Source organism: Homo sapiens, chromosome 16 (genome assembly GCF_000001405.40).
Source record: "Homo sapiens chromosome 16, GRCh38.p14 Primary Assembly".
NCBI lineage: Eukaryota > Metazoa > Chordata > Mammalia > Primates > Hominidae > Homo > Homo sapiens.
The window spans coordinates 58,735,099-58,758,969 of NC_000016.10; the positions used below are offsets into that span (position 1 = coordinate 58,735,099).

At 45.1% G+C, this 23,871-nt stretch overlaps 1 long non-coding RNA gene and 1 pseudogene across 2 annotated transcripts in view, besides 3 other annotated features; one reads left to right on the forward strand and one right to left on the reverse strand.

The window, feature by feature from the left end:
* On the reverse strand, positions 9,153-9,259 carry RNU6-1155P (RNA, U6 small nuclear 1155, pseudogene; annotated as a pseudogene).
* Positions 11,348-11,848: an enhancer, noted in NCBI's record as "H3K4me1 hESC enhancer chr16:58780350-58780850 (GRCh37/hg19 assembly coordinates)". NCBI's record gives its function as "activates a minimal SCP1, AML or CMV promoter by ChIP-STARR-seq in naive H9 embryonic stem cells {active_cell/tissue: H9 hESC(naive)}" and the evidence as "EXISTENCE:reporter gene assay evidence [ECO:0000049][PMID:30033119]".
* Positions 11,849-12,349: an enhancer, noted in NCBI's record as "H3K4me1 hESC enhancer chr16:58780851-58781351 (GRCh37/hg19 assembly coordinates)". NCBI's record gives its function as "activates a minimal SCP1, AML or CMV promoter by ChIP-STARR-seq in naive H9 embryonic stem cells {active_cell/tissue: H9 hESC(naive)}" and the evidence as "EXISTENCE:reporter gene assay evidence [ECO:0000049][PMID:30033119]".
* LOC107984867 (uncharacterized) overlaps positions 14,572-23,871 on the forward strand; it is a 114,037-nt gene continuing 104,737 nt past the window's right edge. For both annotated transcript variants that reach the window (XR_001752227.2, XR_001752228.2), the window contains exons 1-2: positions 14,572-15,015; positions 20,878-21,080. This is a non-coding gene — a long non-coding RNA (uncharacterized LOC107984867). The remainder of the gene's footprint in view (positions 15,016-20,877; positions 21,081-23,871) is intronic.
* Positions 21,307-21,601: a silencer, noted in NCBI's record as "tiled region #6563; HepG2 Repressive DNase unmatched - State 12:CtcfO". NCBI's record gives its function as "represses a minimal TATA promoter and a strong SV40 promoter by Sharpr-MPRA in HepG2 cells {active_cell/tissue: HepG2}" and the evidence as "EXISTENCE:reporter gene assay evidence [ECO:0000049][PMID:27701403]".

Below are 23,871 nucleotides of genomic sequence, written 5' to 3' on the forward strand. Positions count from 1 at the left end.
TAAGCACAAAATAACCCATGGTCATTAATGACAAACTCGTGTATGTCAAATCCTGATAACTGTTTGTGGAAGGAAATGAATCGGTTTTGAAGGAAATGAATCGGTTTTAAAGGAAAAAGCAAATGAATTTCAGACACATCCACAAGTCAAACGAGTCTTTCTCATGTGTAGTCTATTTCTCTGATACTCGTCTCTTAAACCAAGGTAGGGGCCCGGTGTGTTGGCTTATGCCTGTAAACCCAACACTTTGGTAGACTGAGGCAGGAGGATAGCATGAAAACAAGAGTCTGAGACCAGCCTGGGTAACAAGATGAAACCCCCATCTCTTAAAAAAATAAAAAAAAATTAGCAGGATGTGGTGTTGCGTGCCTGTTCCAGCTACTCAGAAGGCTGAGGAGGGAGGATTGCTTGAGCCCATTAATTCAAGAGTGCAGGCCGGGCGCGGTGGCTCACGCCTGTAATCCCAGCACTTTGGGAGGCCGAGGCAGGCGGATCACGAGGTCAGGAGATCGAGTCCATCCTGGCTAACCCTCTCTCTACTAAAAAAATACAAAAAAAAAGTAGCCGGGCATAGTGGCGGGCGCCTGTAGTCCCAGCTACTCGGGAGGCTGAGGCAGGAGAATGGCATGAACCCGGGAGGCGGAGCTTGCAGTGAGCCAAGATCGCGCCACTGCACTCCAGCCTGGGCAACAGAGCCAGACTCCGACTCAAAAAAAAAAAAAAAAAAAGAGTGCAGTGAGCCAGGATTGCGCTACTGCACTCCAGCCTGGGTAACAGAGTGAGACGCTGGCTCTAAATAAATAAATAAATACATACATAAATAAAATAAAACCGAGATAGAACTGTGTACCTTGGCAATTTAATATCTCCTCTGTGGCTCCACGTTGCCTGAATGGTAAAGTCTAAACCCCTACTTAGGGCCACATTCTAGGTCCTTCCGGCCCAGCTCCAATTTACTGTCTCAGACCCTTATGCTCTCATATGACCTTGACCTATGCGCCTATAGGCCATGACTTGGGATTCTACCTGTGAAAAGTAAAGTAGAGATTCTTCTTTAAAGACTTTCCTCCCTGTCTAATTAGAAATAAATAGTAACTTCTCTTAAAAACAAAATGTATTCAAAGACCTGTACTAACAGTCTTAAATATCTGCTAGCCATAATAAAGAAATCAATGTACTTTATGTTCCTAGCTGCCACCATTTAGCCTAAATATTTGCCCTGGCATGCTTATACTGGTCCAAGCAAGCATTAGGTCATAGCCTGTTCCTCTTCCTTATTTGAAGGTGTTTTTACCTTTCTCAGCATTCCACAAGTTACTTCCTCCTTCCTTTGCTCTCCTCTGCCTTTGCCTCTTTTAAAAAGTTCTAAGTTGCTAGCCAATCAGAACAAATACAAAATGTGAGGACCTGTTCCAGCCAATGAAAACCGGACACAGCAGCAAGGTGGATGTATCAGGTTATAAGTGACCTTGTCTCCTTTGTTTGGTGTACTCTCATGGCAAAACTGCTGTCGAGTGTACCCTTTCTGCCGAAAGTATAAAGATGGCCTTGCTGAGGAAATTAAATTTATGTTCAAGTGCTATTTCTTTACAGCACCAAGAAACAAGAATTTCAAACATACCAGTACATCAGTTTGCTCAGACTGCTGTAACAAATCCCCATGAATTGGGTGGTTTAAAACAACAGAAATTTATTCACTCACAATTCTGGAGGCCCAAAATCAAAAATCAAGGTATTGGCAGGGTTTGTGCCTTATGGGGTCTCAGAGACTCTGTTCCATGCTTCTCCTAGCTTCTGGCAATTGTCTGCACTCCTGGGCATTCGTATGCTGTTAGAGGCATCACTAATCTCTGCCTCTGGTGTCACACAGTGTTCTCTCCCTGTCTGTCTCTTCTCTTCTTTTAAGGACACCAATCATATTGGGGTAGGGTGCATCTTAATTGCCTCATCTTCGCCTGATTACATCTGTAAAGACCCTATTTTCAAATAGATCACATTAATGGGTTCCCCAGGTTAGAACTTAAACGTATCTTTTTTGGGGGCACATTTCAACACATAACAACTACTATTCCCAAAACAATTACATGTCCAGGTATAAACCCTAGAGATCTTCTCACACATTTTTAAGGCTGTCAGTAAAGCATTGTTTATAAAAGCAAAACAGGGAACAACCTAGTCGCCCATCGATGGAGGAAGAGATGGATGTTCTGCTACAGTCTCATGATGGAGCATTACAGAACTACTAACGTGAATGAACTCAATAGATGTCACCATGGATAGACCTCAAAAACATAAACATGCTATAGAATTATACATATAATATGGTGCCACTTAGACAATATTTTTAAAATACACAAAACCATAACATACATTTATTCATAAATGTATGTAAAAGTTTGAAAAAATATGCCAAGGATATGGTTCAATACAGGATTAGGAGGGCATGAGCGTATTTGCCCTTGTGGAGGGAAGGAGACAACTTTGTCATATTAGCTTCATAAAAATTATAGATAAGAGGCAGGCACGGTGGCTCGCGCCTGTAATCCCAGCACTTTGGAGGCCAAAGCGGGCGGATCACCTGAGGTCAAGAATTAGAGACCAGCCTGGCCAACATGGTGAAACCCCGTCTCTACTAAAAATACAAAAATTAGCCAGATGTGGTGGCGCGTGCCTATAGTCCCAGCTACCCAGGAGGCTGAGGTAGGAGAATCGCTTAAACCTGGGAGGCAGAGGTTGCAGTGAGCCTAGATTGTGCCACTGCACTCCAGCCTGGGCACAGAGCAAGACTCTGACTCCAAAAAAAAAAAAAAAAAAGAAAAAAAGAAAAAATACAGATCAGATTAACAATTGTCACCATTTTGGGGTTGAGTATTTGTCACATTGGATTCTGTACTTTTCTGTATGTGTGTATATGTGTGTGTGTGCATATAGTTTTTTGTGTGTGTATATATATACACATATACATATATATACACACATATACATACATATACACATATACATATATATATATACACACATATACATATGTATATATGCTAATTTGAGTTCCTGATATGAAAGGTGGATTGGAAGGAACAACCCTACAGTGGGGAGACTAGGTAGAAGGAAGGTTTACACAGGAATCCAGGCAAGAAATTCTGATTGCCTGAGTTCAGGTAGAGGTAACAGTGATGTAGAAAAGGTTACAGATCTGGGGCATATCAAGGAGGTAGAATCAGATGGATTTGGTGATTAGATGCAGAGAAAGGTAGAAAAGGAGTCAGAAATAATTCCCAATGCTTTAGTTAAAATTGGGGTTGTCTGCAGTTAACAGAGACCCCGAATAATTGACTTAACATATATATCTTTCTCACATAAAAATCTGGAGATAGGCAGTCCAGGGTTGGGGTGGCATTTCTGACCCAGAGTCCTTAGGAAGTCAAGTCCTTCCAGATCCTCGCCCCGCCCTCCCTAAAGTATGGTTGACTCCCAGTGGTCCAAGATAGTAGCCATAGCTTCATCCATCACATCTCCATTCAAAGCAGCTGGAGTGCAAAGGACGTACACCAGTTAACTTTTAAAAGAGTTAAAATATGGGCCAGGTGCAATGGCTCATGCCTGTAATCCCAGCACTTTGGGAGGCTGAAGCAGGAAAATTGCTTGAGTCCAGGACCGGTCTAGACCAGTCTAGGCAACATAGTGAGACCCTGTCTCTACAAAAAAAAATGCAAGAATTAGCCAGGTGTGGTGGTGTGCGCCTGTAGTTGCAGCTACTTGGGAGGCTGAGGTGGGAGGATTGCTTGAGCCTGGGAGGCAGAGGTTGCAGTGAGCCGAGATTGTGCAACTGCACTCTAGCTTGGGCAACAGAGTGAGACGCTGTCAGGGGGCGAGGGGTGGGGGGGAAGTTAAAATAGGAGGAGGCAGAGTGTGGCAAAGATCAGATGGAGGAGAGAGTGAGCCAGGGGAGCACAGAGGAGGAAAGGCTCAATGTCAGCTGTGGAAATCAGGGAGGCCTTCATGGGGGAGGTGACATTTGATCTGAACTTTAAAGGACTGAGGTAATGTGGTATGTGGAGGAGGAAGGAAGGAAAAGACATGGCCTATGCCCCTCCTGATTATCTTCCTTGTCCTGGCTGTCTACCTCCCCAGTCTCCCTCCACCCCCCTTTTCTGTGGACCTGCCCCTTCTGGCCATTGCCCTGGGCTTTTTCACCCACGCACCTCATATTTCCAACCCTACTATTAATTACTTGGATTCATGAATACTGCATTTCAGGTTTTGGTCCTGAGCCACGGGTCCTTTAAGCTGTCCACCTGCTCTGACAGTCTCAGGAGCAAATGACAGCACTCCTTCCCCCTCAGGGTCAACCACCATGTCTCCATTTCTCTGTATTTTACAATATGGAGTAAATGCTCATTTGAAAAAATCATCAGGTTTTTGATTTTTGAGTAAGACTCCATCTCAAAAAAAATCATAAACTTTGTTAAAACATTATGAGTTTTTTTGTGATTTTTTTTTCCTCTAGCTCTTCAGCTGTCATCATTGTTAGTGTATTTTATGTGTGACCCAAAACAGTTCTTCTAGTGTGGCCCAGGAAGCCAAAAGATTGAATACTCCTGTCTTACACTGTCACCTCGGGACATCTATAAAGCTTAGATGTTGCAAAACAATGAACTTTGTCCTCAAGAAACACAGCTAATTTACTAAAAATGCACATGTAGACCTATGATTTTAATTTAAAACCATCTTCTAGATATTTACCGAAGAGCCCTTCCCTCCACCCTTTCTCTTCTCCTTCCACCATTCCAGGGACTAAGTACAGGACTATGTCTAGCTCCAAGAGGTCTAGGGACAAAGGTCTCTCCCAGAAGACAGGTGTTTGTAAAAACGAACAAGAGTACATTTATAAAGGGATTATTTTACTTCCTCTACTTTAACATACTTTGAGCATTATAACTTATTTTATTATTTAATGCACGCAATAATAACTAAAATGTGCATATAGAACAATGGTTAGGCCATCTGAAGTAGTCTAACTCATGGGCATAGAACCCTTCTCTCTGCAAACTTCCTCCTCCCCATCACCCACCACCACCCAATGAGCAGTCAGCATACCCTCCAAGACATCAACTTTAACAATTCTGTCCCCAAAATGCAACCACTCCTATAATGTTTAAAAAAAAAAAAAGAAGGGTATTACTTTAGCCCTTTTAACATATTTTTGTGCATTTTTAAACATCTAGGAAGATGAGCTGTTTCAAACAGGACTTAAGTTTTTCACTATACACGCAGTACCATTGAGTAAACGGTGCACATACATAACAAAGGCTATAATTTCAATATGTTTTCTAACTAGGAACATTCTGGCCTAGAATCCTTCCCCTTCCTACCTCTATCAACCCAGGGGACAAGTATAAGCATCTGCAATGCTTAGGAGGGATTTTTTAATTTTAATTTTTATTTATTTATTTTTTTAAGACAGAGTCTCGTTCTGTCGCCCAGGTTGGAGTGCAGTAGTGCAATCTCGGCTCATTGAAACCTCCGCCTCCCAGGTTCAGGCGATTCTCCTGCCTCCGCCTCCTGAGTAGCTGGGATTACAGGCACATGCCACCATGCCTGGCTAATTTTTTTTTTTTTGTGTATTTTTAGTAGAGATGGGTTTTCACCATGTTGGTCAGGCTGGTCTCGAACTCCTGACCTCGTGATCCGCTCACCTTGGCCTCCCAAAGTGCTGGGATTACAGGCATGAGCCACTCCGCCCAGGCTGGGATTTTTTTTTTTTTTCTTTTTTGAGACAGAGCCTCGCTCTATCGCCCAGGCTGGAGTGCAATGGTGCAATCTTGGCTCACTGCAAACTTTGCCTTCCAGGTTCAAGCCATTCTCCCGCCTCAGCCTCTGGAGCAGCTGAGATTACAGGCACCCACCACTATTCCCAGCTAATTTTTGTATTTTTAGTAGAGATGGGGCTTTGTCATGTTGGCCAGGCTGATCTCAAACTCCTGACCTCAGGTGATCCACCTGCCTGGGCCTCGTAAAGTGCTGGGATTACAGGTGTGAGCCACCATGCCTGACCTTACAAGGGATTTTAAAAATTTCACTTCCATAAGTGTTTTTTAAGAACAGTCTTTCCTATGAATTTTAATGTAAAGTGTACTCAGTGTATTAGTTTACTAAGTTCACTTTTGTCATATGCTGGCAAGCTCTGTAACATCTTGGAAGACTAGATGTTGTAAAGCAGGACTCATTTGACCCTTATATACACTAGATACACAGCAAAGTAAAATTAAACGCACAGACGTAAGGGACAACGGTCAAATGTTGTTCACCATAAACACTCTTGTATAAAGCCCTTTGAACTTTCTTCTCCTCCTTCCTCCCTGAACTAGCACAAATATAATAATGTGTACTGCTCAGAGAAATCAATTTCTAAATTGACCAATTTCTAAAAGACAACATTTCATATGAATTTTAACAAAAGGATATCTATAAAATGTGCTATTTACTACCTCTACTTTTAACATACTTGGTCCACTTCTAAATATCTAGAAAGAGTAGATGTTTCAAATAAGGACTTAGGCTGGGTGCAGTGGCTCATGTCTGTAATCCCAGCACTTTGGGAGGCCGAGGTGGGCGGATCATGAGGCCAGGAGTTCAAGACCAGCCTGATCAACATAGTGAAACCCCATCTCTACTAAAAATACAAAAATGAGCCAGTAGTGGTGGCATGCGCCTGTAGTCCCAGCTACTCGGGAGGCTGAGGCAGGAGAATCGCTTGAACCCGGGAGGTGGAGGTTGCAGTGAGCCAAGACTGCGCCACTGCACTCCAGCCTGGGTGACAGAGTAAGACTCCGTCTCAAAAAATAAATAAATAAATAAAAAATAAAAAATAAAAAAATAAGGACTTAAGTTTTCCACTATATACACAGTAATATTAAATAAATGGCACATGTAGCAATGGTTATATCTGAAAGTATCTTCTAAATAGGAACATTCTGGTTTCTTTTCTTCTTTTCTTTTTACTTTTTCACTTCCTTGTCAGTGCCAAGGAACATTCTGGTTTGAATCCTTCATTTCTTCCAACTCCTCTCCACCAACAATCTGGTGGATATAGGGACATGTGTCACTTAGAAGAGATGTTATCATTTCACTTCCAAAAGTCCTTTTCAGAAGACAGCTTTTCATGAATTTTAACACAAACTGTACAAAATGTGTTATTTACTAATATTTAGAGACTAGACATTATAAAATTAGGACTCATTTGTCCAGTATATACACAATACATACAGTACAGAAAAGTTAAGTGAAATGCATGTAACATATAGGGCAATGGATAGACTGAAATTTTCTATTTATTTATTTATTTGAGATGGAGTTTTGCTTGTGTCGCCCAGGCTGGAGTGCAATGGCAGGATCTCAGCTCACTGCAATCTCTGCCTCCTGGGTTCAAGTGATTTTCCTGCCTCAGCCTCCCAAGTAGTTGGGATTACAGGTGCCTCCCACCTCACTCGGCTGATTTTTGTATTTTTGGTAGAGATGGAGTTTTGCCATGTTGGCCAGGCTGGTGTCGAACTCCTGACCTCAGGTGATCTGCCCGCCTCAGCCTCCCAAAGCGCTAGGATTACAGGCATGAGCCACTGCACCCATCCAATAAGCTGAAATTTTCTAGTACACAGTAACAAAACACATTTTGCAATTTCTTCCCTCTTATCTCCCTCAACCCAATGAACAACTACAGAGATTATACTGTTCTCAGAGGTGTTTCATATTAGAACTTGTCCACTGTGTACATGGCACTGTTAAAACTGCACACATGTGGGCCGGGCGTGGTGGCTCACGCCTGTAATCCCAGAACTTTGGGAGGCCAAGGTGGGCAGATCACCTGAGGTCAGGAGTTCGAGACCAGCCTGACCAACATGGAGAAACCCTGTCTCTACTAAAAATGCAAAAATTAGCCAGCCATGGTGGCGGGCACCTGCAATCCCAGCTACTCGGGAGGCTGAGGTAGGAGAATCGCTTGAACCCAGGAGGCAGAGGTTGCAGTGAGCCGAGACTGCACCATTGCACTCCAGCCTGGGCAACAGAGCGAGACTCCGTCTCAAAAAAAAAAAAAAAAATTGCATACATGTAACAATTGTTATAGGTTGGTGCAAAAGCAATTGAGGTTTTTGCATATAATTTGAGGTATCTTCTAAGTATGAGAACATCGTGGGCTTGAACCATATGCTCCTCACTTCCTTCTCTCTGTCATCAATCCAGTGGACTAGTACAGGCATGTGTAATGCTTACAGAGGTTGCACAAACTCATATCCAAAAGTCATTTACAGAGGACAGTGTTTCCTATGAATTTCAATACAAACTGTACAAAATGAGCTAATTTTACTAAGACTTGGTCATACGCTGGCAGCCTTTTTAACATCTAGAGACTAGGTGTTGGAAAATTAGGACTCATTTGTCCATTACATACACTAGATACACAGCAAAACAAAATAAACAAAATGCGCAGAAAAACAGTGTCTGAAAATTTCCAAGTGTGAATGCACTAGCATATTACCTTTTGCAATTCCTTCCCTCCCACCTCCTGCAAACCATTGAAAAGTATAGATGGTACTATCCTGCTCATAGAGGTGGTTTAACAATTTTATTTCCAAAAGATAATATTTCTTATGAATTTCAGCAAAAAGATATTTACAAATTGATATTTTACTACCTCTATATTGAACATGTGTTGGGTACTTGTAAACATCTACATAGACTAGATGTTTCAGGTAAGGATATTTGTCCTCCATAGACACAGCAGTACTGAATAAACCTCACACATGAAACAATAGTTGCAGTTTTTTTTCTTTTCTTTTCTTTCATTTTTTTTTTTCCCCTGACACAGAGTCTGGCTCTGTGATCCTGGCTGGATCTCAGCTGACTGCAACTTCTGCCTCCTGGGTTCAAGCAACTCTTGTGCCTCAGCCTCCCAAGTAGCTGGGATTACAGGCATGCGCCACCATGCCTGGCTAATTTTTATATTTTCAGTAGAGAGGGGGTTTCACCATGTTGGCCAGTCTTGTCTCAAACTCCTGACCTCAGGTGATCCACCCACCTTGGCCTCCCAAAAAGCTGGGATTACAGGCATGAGCCACTGTGCCTAGCCTGCTTTTTTTTTTCTTTATTTCTTATTAGAAAATAGGGGACGCTTCATGAATTTGCATGTCATCCTCACACTGGGGCCATGCTAATCTTCTCTGTATCATTCCAACTTTAGCGTATATGCTGCCAAAGTGAGCACAATAGTTATCATTTAACAGTGTCTTCAAAATATGAACATTCTGGCCTAAAACTGTTCCCTTCTACACCAACGCAGTGGGCTATAATGCTCAAATTTTCAGATGACAATCTTTCCTAGGAATTTTAAAACAAAATGTACAAAATATATTAATTTAACTAACTCTACTTTTGCTTTTGTCATACACTGGCAACCTCTCTAACATCTAGAAAGAGTAGCTGTTGTAAATTAGGACTCGTTTATCTTTTATGTACACGATATATACAGATAAGTAAAACAAAATGCACAGACAGAAGGGCTAGTGGTTAATCTTGCTTCATTATAAGCACAGTGGTGCAGAGTTCATCGCACTTTGAGAGGCTATAGTGAGCTTCCTTCTTCCCCTGAACCGGTGCACAAACACGACGTGTACTAGGCAAAAACATTTCACATGAATTTTAACAAAAAGACACCTGTAACCCCAGCACTTTGGCAGGCCTAGGCCTGCGGATTGTTTGAGGTCAGGAGCTCAAGACCAGCCTGGCCAACATGGTGAAACCCCATCTCTTCTAAAAATACAAAAATTAGCCGGTTGTGGTGGTTCATGCCTGTAATCCCAGCTACTTGGGAGGCTGAGGAAGGAGAATGGCTTGAACCTGGGAGGTGGAGGTTGCAGTGAGCCGGGATCGCGCCACTGCACTCCAGCCTGGGCAGAACGAGACTCTGTCTCAAAAAAAAAAGTTTTACAAAATGTGATGTTTTACTACCTCTACTTTTAACATATATCAGGCACTTCGGAACGTCTAGAAAGACTAGTTATTTCAAAAAAGTACTTTGCACTGTCAACTATATATAAAGTAGTGAAGAATAAAATGCACGCACGAAACAATGATTATGACATGAAAACATCTTCTCCATATGACCTGCCTGGCATAGAACCTTCTCTTCCTTCTCACAGACTTCTGTTTCACGTCCTCTAACCCCCTGTACAAACGTGGACGTGTGTCACTCTTGGTGCTTCTACATTTCAAAAAGTCATTTCCAGTGGGGGTGGCGGGGTTGGGGTGGGGTAGCTCATGCTTGTAATCCCAGCCCTTAGGGAGGCTGAGATGGGAGGATTGCTTGAGGCCACGAGTTCTAGGCAAGCCTGGGAAACATAGCAAGACCCTATCTCTACAAAAAAAATAAAAAATAAAAAATAAAAAAATTAACTGGTTATAGTGGCATGTGCATGTAATCCCAGCTACTCAGGAGGCTGAGGTGAGAGGATTGCTTGAGCCCAGGAATTTGAGGCTACAGTGAACTATGTTCGCATCACTGCATTCCAGCTTAAGTGACAGCAAAATCCTGTCTCAAAAAAAAAAAAAAAAAAAAAGAAAGAAAAAAGTCATTTTCAGGAGACATATCTCTATGATTTTTTAAAAAAACAAATGGATGTTTACAAGATGTGTGATTTTCTAACTCTGTCATAATTGGCAACCTCTTTACATCTAGAAGGACTAGATGTAGCAAATGTTTTGTTTTGTTTTGTTTTGTTTTTGAGATGGAGTTTCGCTTGTAGGCCAGGCTGGAGTGCAATGGTGCAATCTCGGCTCACTGCAACCTTCCTGGGTTCAAGCAATTCCCATACCTCAGCCTCTCAAGTAGCTGGGATTACAGGTGCCCGCCACCACACCCAGCTAATTTTTGTATTTTTAGTAGAGACGGGGTTTCACCATGTTGGCCAGGCTGGTCTCAAACTTTTGACCTCAGGTGATTTACCCGCCTCGGCCTCCCAAAGTGCTGGGATTACAGGCGTGAGCCACCGTGCCTGGCTGCAAATGTTTCCTTTTTTCTTTTTCTTTGTGTTTTTGAGACAGGGTCTCGCTCTGCTGTGTTGCCCAGGCTCTAGTGCAGTGGCACACTCATAGCTCACTGCAGCCTCTGCCTCTCAGGCTCAAGTGTCCTCCCACCTCAGCCTCCTGAGTAGCTGGTACCACAGGTGTGTATCACCACACTTGGCTAATTTTTAAATTTTTTGCAGAGAAGGGAGTCTCACTATGTTGTCTAGGCTGGTTGTGAACGTGCCTAGGCTGATCGCTGAAGCGATCTTCCCGCCTTGACCTCCCAAAGTGCTGGGATTATAGGCATGAGCCACCAGCCCAGCCAAATTTTTTCTTTTAAAAAGTTGGGGGGCAAATCGAGATTAGCTTTTTCATATTATATACACAGGCCTTCTGTGTATTATACACACAGCCAGTAAATCTTTCCAAAGGGTGGTAGGCATTTCCAGTTGGCCAAATGTGGTCTCTTTTTCTACTATTTCTCTCTACCTATATTAAGGTCTGGTAGATTTGTCTGATGGCTGCTGACTCATCCATCTGTTGTTGTCCTGGGCTCCCTCATCTCCTGGCTGGTTCAGGCCTAGGGAGGTCTTGTCCAATTGGGACAGACCGGGCAACCCAGGATCCAGATCTGCACGGCCCCGTGGCCTACAGAGGTGACCAAGCCTGTGTCAGTAGACCTGCCTTTTCGCCTGGCCACACCCATGCCACTCAAGGGCACTGTGTCCTAGCAGCTTGCAGGGGCTTTGCCTGGGCCTGGCAGGACTGGGCCAGGAGACCTCGTGGCTGGTATGGTCCAGGCTGGGAGAGGCTGTTACTGCCATCAAGTCACCCAGGTGGGGAGGGGAGAGAGGTTCCCTGCTGCCTGGGCCCGGCCGGAGGGCAGCCACGGCGAGAGCTCTGGGCATCTGCAGCGCAGAGGCAGCAGCCTGTCCTGGGGACCCCCAGTTCATCTGCCAACCTGGAAGAGCTGGCCTCGTTCCGCTTCTCACCTGGCTTTCTGCTGGAACGTAAAATCAGTTTTTTTTGTTTTGTTTCGTTTTTTTGGAGATGGGGTCTTGCTTTGTCACTTAAGCTGATCTTGAACTCCTGGGTGACTGTGCCCAGCCAGAATCATTTTTAACAAAACAATGTGCAAGTCCTTGGATTAGGCAGTCTGAGTGACCTTTGGGTTCAGGCGTTCATGGCGCCAAGTTCCATCACTTAGAACTTACTAGACACCATGCTCTGTTCTGCTGCATCCAGAGCTTCTCTGGGCCTCTCCCATTTGTTTCCTGCTGGCTCCCAGACAGACCCAGAGGAAACATTTCCAGAATGACCTCAGAAATGATTGCGGGGATCCTTTTCACCCAGGGATCCAGGTAGATATATATACACGTATATATATATATATATATATGTGTGTGTGTGTGTATATATATATGTGTGTATATATATATACGTATATATATACGTATATATATATACGTATATATATATACGTATATATATATACGTATATATATACACACACATATATATATACATATATATACGTATATATATATATGTATATATATATGTATGTATATTGGATTCTCCTGGGAGGGTTTGGGAAGGTCTAACAATGAGGGGGGTCCTGAGTCAAAGAAAGGTCCTGTCTTCACCTACTCGCTTACATCATCATTTGTATTGTTATTTAATATTAATTTTTATTTTAGAGACAGGTTCTTGCTCTGTCACCCAGGCTGGAATGCAGTGGCACAATGATAGCTCACTGCAGTCTTGAACTCCTGGGCTCAGGTGATCCTCCCGCCTCAGTCTTCCTATAGCTGGGACTATAGGCATGTACCACCATACCCGGCTAATATTTTATTTTAATTTTTTGTAGACACGGGGTCGCACTGTATTGCCTAGGCTGGTCTTGAACTCCTGGCTTTAAGTGATCCTCCCATGTCAGCCTCCCAAAGTGCTGGGATTACAGGCATGAACCACTATGACCAGCTGTATTGTTGTTTTAAAATTACTTTGACCACAGCCGGACATTCTGCTGAAATTATGAAAGCTGTTCTGTGGTCACCAGGGATCAATACGGACAAGGCTTTCCTGCTAAGTAAGTAACACTTTTCAACCAAAAGCCTCATGCTCCCATCTCAATCTTTTTTTTTTTTTTTTTGGAGACGGAGTCTCCTCTGTTGCCCAGGCTGGAGTGCAGTAGCGCGATCTAGGCTCACTCCACCTCCCGGGTTCCAGTGACTCTCCTGCCTCAGCCTCCCAAGTAGCTGGTGGGACTACAGGCGCATGCCACCACGCCCGGCTAGTTTTTTGTATTTTTAGTATTGATGGGGTTTCACTGTGTTAGCCAGGATGGTCTCGATCTCCTGACCTCATTATCCGCCCGCCTCGGCCGCCCAAAGTGCTGGGATTACAGGCGTGAGCCATGGCACCCGGTCTTTTTTTTTTTGAGACGGAGTCTCACTGTGTTGTCCAGGCTGTAGTGCAGTGGCGCCATCTTGGCTCACTGCAACCTCTGCCTCCTGGTGAGAGATGACAGCATGCTGGCAGCCCTCGCTCACCCTTGGTGCCTCCTCGGCCTCGCGCCCACTCTGGCCACGCTTGAGGAGCCCTTCAGCCCGCCGCTGCACTGTGGGAGCCCCTTCCTGGGATGGACCGACGCCGGAGCCGGCTCCCTCAGCCTGTGAGGAGGTGTGGAGGGAGAGGCACAGGTGGGAACCGGGGCTGCGCAGGGCGCTTGCCGGCCAGCTAGAGTTCCAGGTGGGCGTGGGCTTGGCGGGCCCCGCGCTGCGCTCGGAGTGGCCAGCCAGCCCGCCGGCCCCGGGCAGTGAGGGGTTTAGCACCCGGGCCAGCAGCTGCGGAGGGTGCGCGGGTTCCCCAGCAGTGCTGGCCCACCGGTGCTGCGCTCGATTTCTCGCCTGGCCTTAGCTGCCTCCCCGCGGGGCGGGGCTCGGGACCTACAGCGGGCCATGCCTGAGTCTCCTCCCCACCCCGCCGTGGGCTCCTGCGCGGCCTGAGCCTCCCCGACGAGCACCACCCCCTGCTCCAGGGCGCCTGGTCCCATCAACCGCCCAAGGGCTGAGGGGTGCCGGCACACGGTGGGGGACTGGCAGGCAGCTCCACCTGCGGCCGTGGTGCGGGATCCACTGGATGAAGCCAGCTGGGCTCCGGAGTCTAGTGGGCATTTGGAGAACCTTTATGTCTAGCTAAGGGATCGTAAATACACCAATCAGCACTCTGTATCTAGCTCAAGGTTCCTAAACACACCAATCAGCACCCTGTGTCTAGCTCAGGGTTTGTAAATACACCAATCAACACTCTTATCTAGCTAATCTAGTGGGGAGGTGGAGCACTTTTGTGTCTAGCTCAGGGATTGTAAATGCACCAATCAGCATCCTGTCAAAACGGACCAATCAGCTCTCAGTGAAACAGACCAATTGGCTCTCTGTAAAATGGACCAATCAGCAGGATGTGGGTGGGGCCAGATAAGAATAAAAGCAGGCTGCCTGAGGTTGCGGTGGTAACATGTTTCGGCGTCCTTCCACACTGTCGCGGCTTATGTTGTTTTGCTGTTTGGGTTTGCACTGTCTTTTTGAGCTGTAACACAGCAAAGGTTTGCAGTTTCGCTCCTGAAATCATCGAGACCACAAACCCACCGGGAAGAACGAACAACTCCAGACGCACCGCTTTAAGAGCTGTAATACTCGTTAGGAAGGTGTGCAGCTTGACTCCTGAGTCAGCGAGACCATGAACCCATCAGAAGGAAAAAACTCCGAACATCAGAAGGAACAAGTTTCAGACACGCCACCTTTAAGAACTGTGATACTCACCGCGAGGGCCCGCGGCTTCATTCTTGAAGTCCGTGAGACCAAGAACCTACCAATTCCGAATACGTTGGGTTCAAGTGGTTCTCCTGCCTCAGACTCCCGAATACCTGGGACTACAGGCACCCACCACGCCCGGGTAATTTTTTGTATCTTTAGTCGAGGTGAGGTTTCACCATGTTGGCTAGGCTCGTCTCAAAATACTGACCTCGTAATCCGCGCCGCCTCAGCCTCACAAAGTGCTGCGATTACCTGCGCCCTACCGCTCCCACCCCAATCGTGTTGAAATTGTGTAGTATAGAATTCTATAAATTTGAAAAAGCTTTTAGAGGTTAGTTGGAGCAGTGCTTCTCATGTTGCACATCACCTTGAGAACTTGTGAAATTGCAGGTCGTGAGTCAGCATGGTGTTGTAGGGTGAGGGGAGTGACTGTGCTGTGTTTTTCGAGACGGGGGCGGGTCTCACTTTGTTGCCCAGGTGGGAGTGCAGTGGTGCAAACAAGGCTCATTGCAGCCTTGATCTCCGGGGCTCAAGCTGGCTGTTGACCTCAGCCTTCTGAGTAGCTGGGACTTCAGGCGTACATCACCACACCCAGCTAGTTTTAGTATTTTTTCGTAAAGATAGGATTTTGCCATGTTGGCCAGGCTAGTCTTGAACTTCTGAGCTCAAGCAATCCACCAACCTTGGCCTTTGAAAGTGCTGGGATTACAGATGTGAACTACAATGCCTGGCTGCTTATGTATTTTTATTTTTTATTTCTTAAAATATTTATTTGAGATGGAGTCTTGCTCTGTTGCTCAGACTGGAGTGCACGGTGGCACGATCTTGGCTCACTGCAACCTCTGCCTCCCAGGTTCAAGAGATTCTGCTGCCTCAGCCTCCCGAGCAGCTGGGATTCTAGGTGCCTGCCAACATGCCTGGCTCACTTTTGTATTTTTAGTGGAGATGGGTTTCACCATCTTGGCCAGGCTGGTGTCGAACTCCTGACCTTAGGCAATCCACCCACCTTGGCCTCTGAAAGTGCTGGGATTACAGGCGTGAGCCACCACATCCGGCCTTCTTTTTTTTTTTTTTTTTTTTTTTTTTGAAACAGGGGTCTTGCTCTGTCACCCAGGCTGGAGAGCAGTGGCACGATCATGGCTCACTGAGGGGATTCAGACAAACCCCAGGCCTGAGCTTGCAGAGTATGGAGAGCAGGGAGAGGGGTGCAGTCATTGACTTCAAAGTCAAGACTTCAGGCTTTACTGGGGAGAGATTCTCTGTGCTCAATAGTAAGGATTTTTTTTTTTTTTTTAGTTTTATTTTTAAATGTTTATTTATTTAGAGGATTGGGTTAGGAAACTGGCTAATTTTTGTATTTTGGTAGAGACGAGGTTTTGCCATGTTGCCCAGGCTGGCCTCGAACTCCTGGGCACAAGTGATCCCTCTCCTTTCCAAAGTGCTGGGATTACAGGCGTGAGCCACTGCACCTGGCCAATAGTTAGGATTTGTGCTCTGCCCTCCTAACCACAATTTGGAGAAACAAACCAGTATACAAATTCACAGCACTTAATTCCTTCAAATAGTTCTGTTTAAATCATGCTGGTGTTAAAGGAAAAACATCAAGCTTTTAAAGAATTAAAGATAGTTTTATTTAGAAGTCTTACTGAGGGCTAGAAACCGAAGCCTACAGCCTGGGAGTGGCCTGTTAGAGATGTCCTATCAGACTGTTCCGGAAGTGCCTACTGCTCGTACACAGGTGGCAGAGGTTCAGTATGTGTAAAATCACATCCAGGCCAGGCACAGTGGCCCATGCCTGTAATTCCAGCACTTTAGGAGGTCGAGGCAGGTGGATCACCTGAGGTCAGGAGTTTGAGACCAGCCTGGCCAACATGGCAAAACCCCATCTCTACTAAAAATACAAACATTAGCTGGATGTGGTGGTGCACTCCTGTAGTCCCAGCTACTTGGGAAGCTGAGGCAGGAGAATCGCTTGAACCCTGGAGGCAGAGGTTGCAGTGAGCCAAGACTGCACTCCAGCCTGGCGACAGAGCACTCCGTCTCAAAAAACAAACAAAACAAAACAACAAAAAAAACTGGTTGTAGCTTACAGAAGCATAACCACTAACTCTACTGGACGTTATCTTAAGTGTAAGAAAAGGCAAGGCAAGGATCATTTACCTTAAAAAAAAAATTTTTTTTGAGAATGGGTCTTGCCATGTTGCCCAGGCTGATCTCTAACTCCTGGTCCCACAATTCTCCTGACTTGGCCTCCCAAAGTATTGGGATTACAGGCATGAGCTACTGCACCTGGCCTCAATTGATCCTTTTAAGGAATGTATTGACTCAGGCGAGGGATGTGGGAGGCTGTGCGCTCTGTCCTCTTCTGACTTCAAGACATTCTTCCTGAGAGCTGTATTTTATCAGAGTCGGGGGTTCAAACAGAAATGAGCAAATACGGCCTCTTAGCACTTGCTGCTATGTCTCACACTAAGCACCTGAAAGAGCCGTGAAAGTAAGAAGAAACTTTAACTTCAAACTGGAAGCTATTCTCCTGCCTTAATCTAACCTACGGTGTCTGGCCCACTTCCAGGCCCAGGGCTAGCTCTCTCCTTGCTTTTGTGAATTTCAACTTCAGTAAACCCTTTCACATAATTCCATGTAACCTTAAACGAAGGTTCTTGTGGATGTTTTAATCATTAAAGAAGACGGCCAGGTGTGGTGGCTCACACCTGTAATCCCAGCACTTTGGGAGGCTGAGGCGGGTGGATCACCTGAGGTCAGGAGTTTGAGATCAGCCTGACCAACATGGTGAAACCCTGTCTCTACTAAAAATACAAAAATTAGCCGGGCGTAGTGGCGTGTTCTGGTAATCCCAGCTACTTGGGAGGCTGAGGCAGGAGAATCCCTTGAACCCCAGAGGCAGAAACTGCAGTGAGCAGAGATTGTGCCACTGCAATCCAGCCTGGGTGACAGAGACTCCATCTTTGAAGGAGGTGCTAGAAAACTGTTTGGGAAGGAACAATTTATTTTTTAAAGATGGAGTCTCACTCTGTTCCCCAGGCTGGAGTGCAGTGGCATGATCTCAGCTCACTGCAACCTCCGCCTCCCGGGTTCTAGTGATTCTTCTGTCTCAGCCTCCTGAGTAGCTGGGATTACAGATGCCCAACACCACACCTGGCTAATTTTCGTATTTTTAGTAGAGACGGGTTTCCCCATGCTGGTTTTGAACTCCTGACCTCAGGTGATCCACTTGTCTCAGCCTCCCAAAGTGCTGGGGTTACAGATGTGAGCCACCGTGTCCGGCCAGGAACACTGTTTTTAGGGGGAAAATCCTCTCATTCTATCTCTTTTATTCAATTGATTCCCAGTTACTGTTTAGGTCTCAAATTAGGTAACCTTTGGGAATCCTTCTCTGCCTTCCCTGCCTACCCAGAGACAGAGTTAAGTGCTTTTTTGATGGGCTTCTTAAGACAGTTCTTATTAGAATACGTTTCTTACTTTATAATGATAATTCCCCATTTTTTTCTTGTCTGTTCTCTCTGTGAAGGCTTGTGAGGGCAGAGACAGAGCCCACCTATATTTTCTGTGCACCTAAAACCTGGCATAGCACATCACATATATATTATAGAATGGTATTCTGTTTATGGATTTCATCAGTTTGATGCAGGATTTTTCTTGGACACTCTGCCAGCCAGAGACCTCTGGTGGCGACACCCTTGTTCAGGCTTTACTTGCGCCTGGGATTGCTGTAGGAGATGCCCCATCTACTCAGCCCACCAGGCCACACCTGGCTTGCACTCTGGCACAATCCCATGGCTGCTGCAACTGCTTGCTCAGCTCCTGGCAGAAGTGGATCTGTGAGCCAGCAAGTGTAGGATCTGGCTGGCTGTTCCAAGTGCTGGCACAGGAGCAGGCTCCATGTGGGTCTTGCAGCTGGACCAGGTGTGTCACACTGAGGGGAACACAGTGGTGCCCAAGCAGGGGTGCCTGAGACCCGGAAGCCCCAGAGGGGGTGTTACAGCAATCTAATAGCTCTTTTGGTCTGGCCGTCCACAGCCTGACAGGTGGTGGCGTGTTAATAGCTCTGTCAGTCCTGTCGTCCTGCTCCGGCCAGCAGCTCGGGCTGGCTCTGCCCTGCCCCTGCTTCCCGTCGGGGCAGCTGCTCTCCGCCAGCAGAGAGTGGAGGGTCATGGTGTTGCAGCCTTATTTGTACCCACGTTCAGTGGGTCCCAAATTCTTGTCCTGCATCCAAGAAGAATGAGGTTATGCTGACAATTGAAGGGTGAGGAGGGTGGAGAAGAATTTTACTGAGTGACTTAACAGCTGTCAATGGAGAGGGGATGCGAGGGTGGTCCTCCACCCAAAGTCGGGTGGCTTCTTTCTAAGTGTGGCTGGGTCTGGGACTTTTATGGGCTCAGAATGGGGAGTGCACGCTGATGGTTTGTGATTGTGCAGAAAAGGCTAAAACAAAGGTACCAACCAAGGGTGGGCACGACAGTGTATATAAAACCAACTAGGGAAGGGTAGGTATATGTAAAATAAGTAAAGTTTGGGGATCAAGCGGAGGAAAGCATGCCAAACAGGAAGAGGTTCTCAGTCCCATCTATGGATTTACCTGGGACTTGTACCTTGACTTTCAAGCTTTAGATTGTCTTTGGTTTGAAGGTCGGGTTTTCACTGGGGACCTGCTCATGTCTGCCTAGGGATTTGTCTGCCTCCTGCTGCTGTCAAGTTCATCAAATATTTATTGATGGCCTCACCAGGCCACCTATTTCATTGTGAGACAGTGTTGGGTGTGACAGTGCTCTACCTTATGGTGAGATAAACTCTATCTGTACCTTCTATTCATAGGCCTGTATCTGATCATTAGAGCCAGGAGAAAAAAAGAAACAAAACCCTGCCTATTTGAATACAGGTGTTAGTGTTTTAATAATCTCTTCTTTAGCCCATGGCATGAGAAACAGCTGAGGACCTGGGGCTATCTGGTCTGTAGCCCCTGCCCTCCTAATCTCTCTTCTCTGGCTAACAAAACATTAAAATGTCGTGATAAGAATTTAGAACCACATCGCTGCTGCTTGTTTGGTTTAAAAAAAATTAAATTAAAAAAATATAAAAAAGAATTTAGCACCACAGGAGATGTCTGACCTAGGCAAGTAGAGTGAGATGATCACTTCCATTGTTTTGAACTTTATCCTTTTATTAATACAACTCAAGCACATATTGGTGTGTTGATGATAATGGCCTGTGGCCAGCAGTAGCATATGTGAAAAAGGAATCCTGGCCGGGCGTTTTTTACAGGCATGGTGGCTCATGCCTGTAATCCTAGCACTAGCACTTTGGGAGGCTGATGTGGGTGGATTGCTTGAGGTTAGGAGTTTGAGACCAACCGGACCAACATGGTGAAACCCTGTCTCTACTAAAAATACAAAAGTTAGCTGGGTGTGGTGGTGGCAGGCTCCTATAATCCCAGCTACTTGGGAGGCTGAGGCATGAGAATTGCTTGAACCTTGGAGGTGGAGGTTGCAGTGAGCTGAGATCGCACCACTGCACTTCAGCCTGAGCGACAAAGCGAGATTCTGTCTCAAAAACAAACCACCAAACAACAACAAAAAACCCCTAAGAGTGCACAGTTTATTTATTAACCTTTTTGAGAATGTGGCAATTTTTATATAATTTTTAAAAAGTATATGTGGTGTTGAGGCATTTTAGGCACTATTGTGATTACAGAAAACGCCATTTTATGCAATACCTTTGAGAATTCACGTTGACTAGAATTCGATGTTCCACTCAGCTATGGCTTGTCTTTGGTAGGACAATTACTATTTAGCACTTGGCAAAATTCTTGGTGTAATTTGACTGGATTATTGGTAAAAAGAAGAAAAATTGCAAGTGACACTAAATTCTTCTCAGATAACTGGACATTCTTGGTTTTCCAGTATTTTAGAAAATGCTGGAGCAGGAGAAAGAATGGGGTTTGGAATTAGACACATTTGGCTTTGAATCTCTTTTCTACCACTAGGTAATTGTATGACAATGGAGAGGTGATTACTGCGCTGAAAATCAGTTTCCTGAAGTGAAAAAGGGAATCAAGTTACGTCACAGAGCCTGGTGTGAGCGGCGCTCTGTCAACACCAGCTCTTCATGGGTTGTGGTTTCCTCCAGTTCCTGGATGTGTGGAGTTCATCCTCCACTGACTGGCGCCCCGGTTGACAATGAGGTCTGGTAAGTCCTGCCACTAAAACTGTTATTGAATGTGCTCGATCTCCAGTGACTTCTGTGTTTAAAATAGGAAGTAAGGAACAGATAGATGCAAGATCCCTCTGAACCTTGAGATCTGGTAGTTCAGGAGCGTTTTCTCAGCTTGGACATCTTGTGCAGGGTGGTTATGTGCATGTGTATGTGTGCGTATGTATAATAGGCACAGCTGTGTGGAAGATAACAGGACTCTTGAAGTGAATGAGGGCGGGAGTGTGTACCTGTTGTTGCATGGGGAGGACGGCCCCTGACCAGGAGATGTTTTCGGATGCAGCCCCTGCCCCTACCAACAGTTCTCAGGGCCCTCTAGTATTCTGTGAGCTTATTGCGAGGTGTTACGGAGGTGGCCTCGGCTGGTTGTAGCATCTCTAGGCAGCGGCTGCCATCTCGTGGTAGAAGTCTCAGGATGCTTCCTGCAGAATGATGGCTTCAAGGGCTGAGCCTTTTATCTGGCTTCTCAGCAGGCCAGATTCTGCTTTTCAAAGAGAATTAGGTGATTGCACCAGAAAGCAATTTAAAAATTGTATAAACTGAACAAAGGTAGATGTATTCTGGAGTAAAATGTATGTCATGTTTATTTGTTTATTTTTATTTTTATTTTTTTTGAGATGGGATTTTGCTTTTGTCCCCCAGGCTGGAGTGCAATGGTGAGATCTCAGCTCATTGCAACCTCTGCCTCCTGGGTTCAAGCGATTCTCCTGCCTCAGCTTTTCGAGTAGTTGGGATTACAGGTGCCCACCCCAATACCCGGCTAATTTTTTTGTATTTTTTAGTAGAGTGGGGGTTTACCATGTTGGCCAGGCTGATCTCAAACTCCTGACCTCTGATCCACCTGCCTTGGCCTCCCAAAGTACTAGAATTATAGGCATGAGCCACCGTGCCCGGCCCTGTCGTATTTATTTTTAACTTTATAGAAACTTTACACAATGCCAAGCCACTTAAGGTCATCTATCCAAGCCCTTGATAAACCCGTTCACTCTGCTCTACATTGTTTACTTAGGGAAAAAAATCCAGATCTTTATAACATAGACTTTTATACTTACTGAACCAAAAAAGGTCCACATCCACTCTCCTGTTTACATTTTTAAATTTAGAAATGCTAACATGGGTATGTGTTAATTGGTAAGGGCATAAGATAAAACGAAAAGAAGAAAACATCTTCTCACATCCTCTCTCTCCAAAGGGAACTAATATAAATGGTTCCTTCTCATTTTTTTAAAATTTGTTTTTATTATTTATTTTTTTTGAGACGGAGTCTCCCTCTGTCACCCAGGCTGAGTGCAGTGGCACAATCTCGGCTCACTGCAACTTCCACCTCCTGGGTTCAAGCGATCCTCCTCCATCAGCTTCCCTCCTACCTCAGCTTCCTGAGTAGCTGGGATTACAGGCCCATGTAACCATGCCTGGCCAGTTTTTTTATTTTTAGTAGAGATAGGCTTTCATGATGTTGGTCAGGCTGGTCTCGAACTCCTGACCTCAGTTGATCCACCCACCTCAGCCTCCCAAAGTGCTGGGAATTACAGGCATGAGCCACTGTGCCTGGCTTTAAATGTTTAATTTAGATATTTAATCAGGCTGGGCATGGTGCACCTGTAATCCCAGCACTTTGAGAGGCCGAGGCCAGTGGATCACTTGAAATCAGGAGTTTGAGACCAGCCTGACCAACATGGCAAACCCCGTCTCTACTAAAAATTCAAAAATTATCCGGGCATGGTGGCACATGCCTGTAGTCCCAGCTACTCGGGGGGCTGAGGCAGGAGAATTGCTTCAACCCGGGAGGTGGAGATTGCACCACTGCACTCCAACCTGGGTGACAGAGTGAGATTCTGTTTGTTTTTTGTTTTATTGTTAGGTGGTTTTTTTTTTAATTTTTAATAGGCTTTTTAAGAACAGTTTTAGATTTACAGAATAATTGAGAAGATAGTACATGAACAGAGAGATCCCACATACCACACATGTGGCTTCCCCTCTTACTAACATCTTACCTCAGTGTGCTACATTTGTTTATATATATATATATATATATATATATAATTATTTATTTATTTATTTTTTTGAGATGGAGTCTTGTTGCGATGCCCAGGCTAGAGTGCAATGGCACGATCTCAGCTCACTGCAACCTCTCCTTCCCGGGCTCAAGCGATTCTCCTGCCTCAGCCTCTGCAGTAGCTGGGATTACAGGCGCCTGCCACCATGCCTGACTAAGTTTTGTATTTTTAGTAGAGATGGGATTTCACCATGCTGGCCAGGCTGGTGTCGAACTCCTGACCTCGGAGGCGATCCACCCACTTCGGCCTCCCAAAGTGCTGGGATTACAGGTGTGAGCCACTGTGCCCGGCCACATCTTTGCTTTGTGATGGTTCAACATATGAACTTTGTTTCATGAACAAAATTATTAGAAATGTTGTATAAAATTACCCACAGGGTATGTGTATACAGTGTATATGAAACATAAGTGCTAAGACTTGGGTCTCATCCAAAGGATATCATATGTATATGCAAATATTCCAAAATCTGAAAATATCCAAAATGTAAAATACTTCTTCATATCTTTCATTCTTATTTTTATTTTTTATAGATTTAGGGGGTACAAGTGCAGTTTTGTTACATGGATATATCACATAGTAATGAAGTCTGGGCTTTTAGTGTACCCGTCATCTGAATACTGTACATTATACCCAATAGGAACAGTCTCATTCGTCACCCTCCTCCTATCCTCTCACCTTTTAGAGTCTTCACCATCTGTTATTTCTCTGTA